Below are 4,837 nucleotides of genomic sequence, written 5' to 3' on the forward strand. Positions count from 1 at the left end.
ATTTATTGGACCAGACATACACCAAGGAGTTTCTATAGTTCATTAATTTTCACCCTTTGAATTAGGCATCAATATTTCCATTTTGAAGATGAGAAAAACCAAAACTCATGGTTTAAGTAGCTATCTGAAATCACACCCATAGCAGTAAGTGGCAGAACATTTGCTCTGGACACTGGGATAAGTATGTGTGTATGGGTTTTTTTTGTTGTTGTTTTTTGTTTTCTGTTTTTTTTTGTTGTTGATGTTGTTGTTTGTTTGTTTTCGGGATGGAGTTTTGCTCTTGTTGCCCCAGGCTGGAGTGCAATGGCATGATTTCAGCTCAATGCAACCTCCACCTCCTGAGTTCAAGTGATTCTCCTGCCTCAGCCTCCTGAGTAGCTGGGATTACAGGTGGCGGCCACCACACCTGGCTAATTTTTGTATTTTTAGTAGAGACGGGGTTTCGCCATGTTGGCCAGGCTGGTCCCAAACTCTTGACCTTGTGATCTGCCTGCACCGACCTCCCAAAGTGCTGGGACCACAGGCGTGAGCCACTGCACCCGGCCATGTATGTGTTTTTATTCCTAACACTTCATAACAAATGCCAATATCTCTTCCTGCAGCCTTACAGAGGGAGCTGATCAGTTTCCCCTCCTGCCCAAAGGCAAAGCAGCCACAGTGGAAGTGCCAGAGTCCTCCCTCACAGCCTTCTGTCTAGTGGTTATTCCCGCTTCAAGGCTAAGGAAGGGAAGGACCCGTTTTGCTTTCAAAGGCTTTTTCCTTCCAGCCCTTGCTGTGCACCCGTTGTGTGTGGGAGGGACCATGAGAGGCCTGGATATTGTCAATAAAAGACTTGAACAAGCCAAAGAGCTGATGATGTTGACCAGAAGGGGACCTTAACAAGGCAGATAATCAAAAGTTGATGACTGACAGCCCCTTTCGCATCCCTTCACCCTCTACTAAATCAGGTCTCTTACATGATCTTGATGACAAATAATAAAAATTATAAACACATTACAGTTTTCACATGCATTTGTTCACTTCTCACAGCAAATATGAGAGGTATCTAAGGCTGAGCAGTTTATTACAGAAAAAAGTTTATGGGACTAGAACCTTAATTTTATGTAACAAAATTTATATAGAGCTTACCATGGATCATGTACTCTACTAAATAGTTCAAAACTTTCATTTTTAGAGAGATGGGTGTCTTGCAGCCAGGGACAGTGGCTCACACGTGTAATCCCAGCAATTTGGGAGGCTGAGGTGGACAGATCACCTGAGGTCAGGAGTTTGAGGCCAGCCTGACCAACATGGTGAAACCCCATCTCTACTAAAAATGCAAAACACAAAAATTAGCTGGGTGTGGTGGTTCATCCCTGGAATCCGGAGACTGAGGCAAGAGAATCACTTGAACCCAGGAGGTGGAGGTTGCAGTGAGCTGAGATCATGCCATTGCACTCCAGCCTGGGCAACAAGAGTGAAACTCCATCTCAAAAAAATAAAGGGGGGAGCGGTCTTGCTATGTTACCCAGGCTGGTCTTGAACTCCTGGGTTCAAGCAATCTTTCCACCTCAGCCTTCTGAGTAGCTAGGACTATGGGCCCAGGCCACCAGGCCTGGCTGTATCTCATAACTATTAACTCATCTACTTTTTCACCACCATGTGAAGTAGGCATTACTGTTATTCACATTTTTTAAGATGCAGAAACTGAGGCATGGTAATCAAGTATCTTGCCCAAGGTTGTACAGCCAACAGGTGGTAGAACAGGGATCCTGAGCCCAGCCCCAGCATCTGTGTCTAACCACTTCACCAGGTGGGCTTTGCATGGGGACTACACTTGAAACTATAGTTTGTTAGTCTGGGGCCCCTGCTTCCGCCTGCCTCCCTCAGTCTTTATGGCCCACTGGAAAAAGCAAGCCAGAGCTGTGGCTTCCAGGGTGATGATCCTTCAGCTGCCTCCTTGGCACTGTCATTCCCTCCTCCCATCTCCCGCCAAGGGCTACAGCCGAGAATACCACAGACGGTTTGCCATGGATCAAGATTTCTCTCAAGAAAGAGCTCACAGAAAGGCTGCTGTGAGAAAGGAAGTCACTTGCTACTCCCCTTATTCCTCCATCAGGAGGAGCCTGATGAGGTCACTGCACATTTGAGTGGGTGCTATCAAAGCACAGCCTCTGGCCAGCGTGGAGACAAACGTGGGCTGTGTGGCCCATGACTGAGTGGCTGAAAGGAAACCTGAGGTGGTAGATGATGGAACTGATTGAAATAAAACTTCTGTAGGAATGCTGCATGTCATTCATTCAACAGTGCTCCCTGACCAGGGCCCAGGGCTGTGCATATGAGCTGCAAATGGGTTTGTTCCTTCGTTTATATATCTATTTGCTTATTTATTCAATAAATTCTGATTATGCCCCTAAGAGGCACTGTGCTAGATGTCAAGGATGAACAAGACAAAATCCCTTCCCCACAGGGGCTCCCGGTCTAGAGAGGGGAGGAGGAAGGAAGATGCACAGTGATTTGTATCATATGCTGAGGAAAGAGAGTCATTTACTATCGCCGTTTGACATCCTCACCCCCAGTGCGGTCCTTCTCTTTGTCTCTCCATGCTGGGAGTGGGCAGTCCCTGCCCTGCTGCCCTTCAGACACAGCCCTCTTCCCTCAAGCTGCCCTCTGCCTGGATCCCACCTTCCTTGTGAGCTGGAGTATTTGCGTTGAAGGACTCTTGACTCTCCTTCCCTGTCAGTCACTGTTTGGCTGCAGGCAGTGACAGAGGTGGCAATAAAGCAGCAGAGAGAAGGCTTTGGTATCAGAGCAGGGACTCGCGGGTGGAATGGGACGGGGATGGTTTTCTGTTTGCCTCACTGTGTTCTCTGTGCTGCTCTGCCCAGGGAGGCTGACCTCTGCAGACTGTGTCACCTGGGCCCCCTGATCTCTCGGCCAATAGAGGTCCCAGCTGAGAACGGGGAGAGAGGAGTCAGGGTATTTGTTTCCCCCATTCCCTGTCAGCCCCCCTTTTTGCCTGCCTGAAGCTCTGGTGGTGGTTGTGGTTCCTCCATGGTCACAGCTTTGCTGAGTGGCCTCTCTCCTGTGTCCTGTGAGCACAGTTGGCATCGGGCTTTGGTAGAGATATTTCTATCCTGGTGCCACACTAGCCCTTATTAGTTTTCTTCATCTGGTCTATGCCTTTAGAAACTGTCACATCACTAAACCCTTCAGTGAAACACTTTCGAATGTGTCATTTATTCTCTGTTGCCACCCTGACTGGCTCACCTGGGTGCAGAGGAGGTGGGGACAGAGCAGGTTGGGGCTCCAGTTCAGCTTTATTATCCCTCTTTTTCAGGGTTTCCCAGAGGAAGAGAGAGAATTTGGACAAATGAATGAGGAACAACGCTCTCCTGAGGGTTTTCTTTAAGGGGCAAGGATCAATGCCTCTAGATCCTTTGAAAGCAGAGTTAAGAGGCAGTGCAGGAAGGCACAGCAGGAAGGTTCATGGTTAGACTACAGAGAAGGAAGCAGCCACTGCTGGGGACCTACCCTGTGCTGGTCACTGACAAGCTGTCTCATTAAACCTTCCCGGACCCTCAACCCCTCCTAGTATCTTATCCTCATTTTACAGATGAGAAGACTGCGGCCCAAAGAGGTAAAGATCTGGGGAGCAGGATGGGAGCTTCACTTTGTCTCAGTTGCTCTGGCAAAGAGAAGCCTCACCTTGTGATCAAGGGATTGGGAGGGTGACAGATAAATCTTGGCTTAAGTGTCAGCATAACACTGGGAATCTGGAGCTAGACGGCACTGGCTTGACTCCTTGGATCTGCCTCTTACTAGCTGTGTGATACTGGGCATGCCTCTGTTTCCCCATCTATAAAAATGGGGCTAATGATAATAACACCTGCCTTACAGGTTGTGTAGAAGGTTGAATTTGTAGTTATGAGGTGCCCAGGAACAGTGCTAGCACACAGTGAGCGCCATACACAAGTGTTAAAGAATGGAGCCTCCTGCTCTCTCCTTATTTTCCACCCCCTGCCCTCTTATCATTGCCCACTTCCCCTGCCTTCTCCTCGCCATCCTGAAAAAGGGTGAAGAGCCACCCAGAAACCCCTGAACAGGCATGTTGGTCCCAGGCCCTTTGTGAGCATGCTTTTCCCTGCCCTGCCCCCTGTCATCACCATTCTGGATGGAGCAGCAAGGACGGAGACACTTATTTGGGTTATCCACTCCAGGTCCAATGCCAGTGGGATCAGCTTCGATGGGATGCGCACAGACTGACCTCTTCTCCCCAGCCCCTTCAACTTCCCAGAGCTGCAGGGGGCCTGGGAGTTCTTGGTAACAGCACATTAAACCTCTGTTTGTGGGAACTTTAATTTAAACATAAATTAGAAACGGCAAATGACTCTGGCAGCCAGATAAGCCATCCCGGGAGAACAAGGAGAAAGCCAAGAGAATCAGCCCAGATAAGGCCTGACTTTAAACTAATGGTGATACCCAGAAGCCTGGGACAGATGAAATCTAGGGGTCCTGAATGAAGAACCCCAGAAGCTCCACACCCCAGTTGTCCTTGCTCTGGGCTCTATGTCAGCTCCCTCTCCTGTGTTCTCTATATTTCTATCTTATTGCAAAATTTTATCCTGATTCTTTGGCTCCATCCCTCCCACCCCCACCCTACTGTTTTAGAGAATGCACTTTCTTTACTTTGCTTCTCATCTTCTTCTGTGACCTACTATTCTGAGAAAGTTCTACTTGTTATCTAACCTCCATCTATGCTACTACCTTTAGAGTCTAATACATCCTGCTTAGTGGTAGCTCTGGGAGTTTCTGTTCATGTGGCAAATGTGGTGTAGTAAAAACAACCTGAAAAAGA

At 48.3% G+C, this 4,837-nt stretch overlaps 1 long non-coding RNA gene across 1 annotated transcript in view, besides 1 other annotated feature; it reads left to right on the forward strand.

Moving 5' to 3' along the window:
• FAM242B (family with sequence similarity 242 member B) overlaps positions 1-4,334 on the forward strand; it is an 11,757-nt gene extending 7,423 nt beyond the window's left edge. The window contains exons 3-4 of the long non-coding RNA NR_133643.1: positions 3,320-3,619; positions 4,200-4,334. This is a non-coding gene — a long non-coding RNA (family with sequence similarity 242 member B). The remainder of the gene's footprint in view (positions 1-3,319; positions 3,620-4,199) is intronic.
• Positions 1-4,837: part of a centromere (Linear centromere model derived predominantly from reads generated in PMID: 17803354. This region does not represent an actual centromere sequence, as long-range ordering of repeats and unmapped WGS contigs is not provided by the model. For details of model production, see http://arxiv.org/abs/1307.0035.) that runs on past both edges of the window.

This window comes from Homo sapiens, chromosome 20 (genome assembly GCF_000001405.40).
Source record: "Homo sapiens chromosome 20, GRCh38.p14 Primary Assembly".
Taxonomy (NCBI): domain Eukaryota; kingdom Metazoa; phylum Chordata; class Mammalia; order Primates; family Hominidae; genus Homo; species Homo sapiens.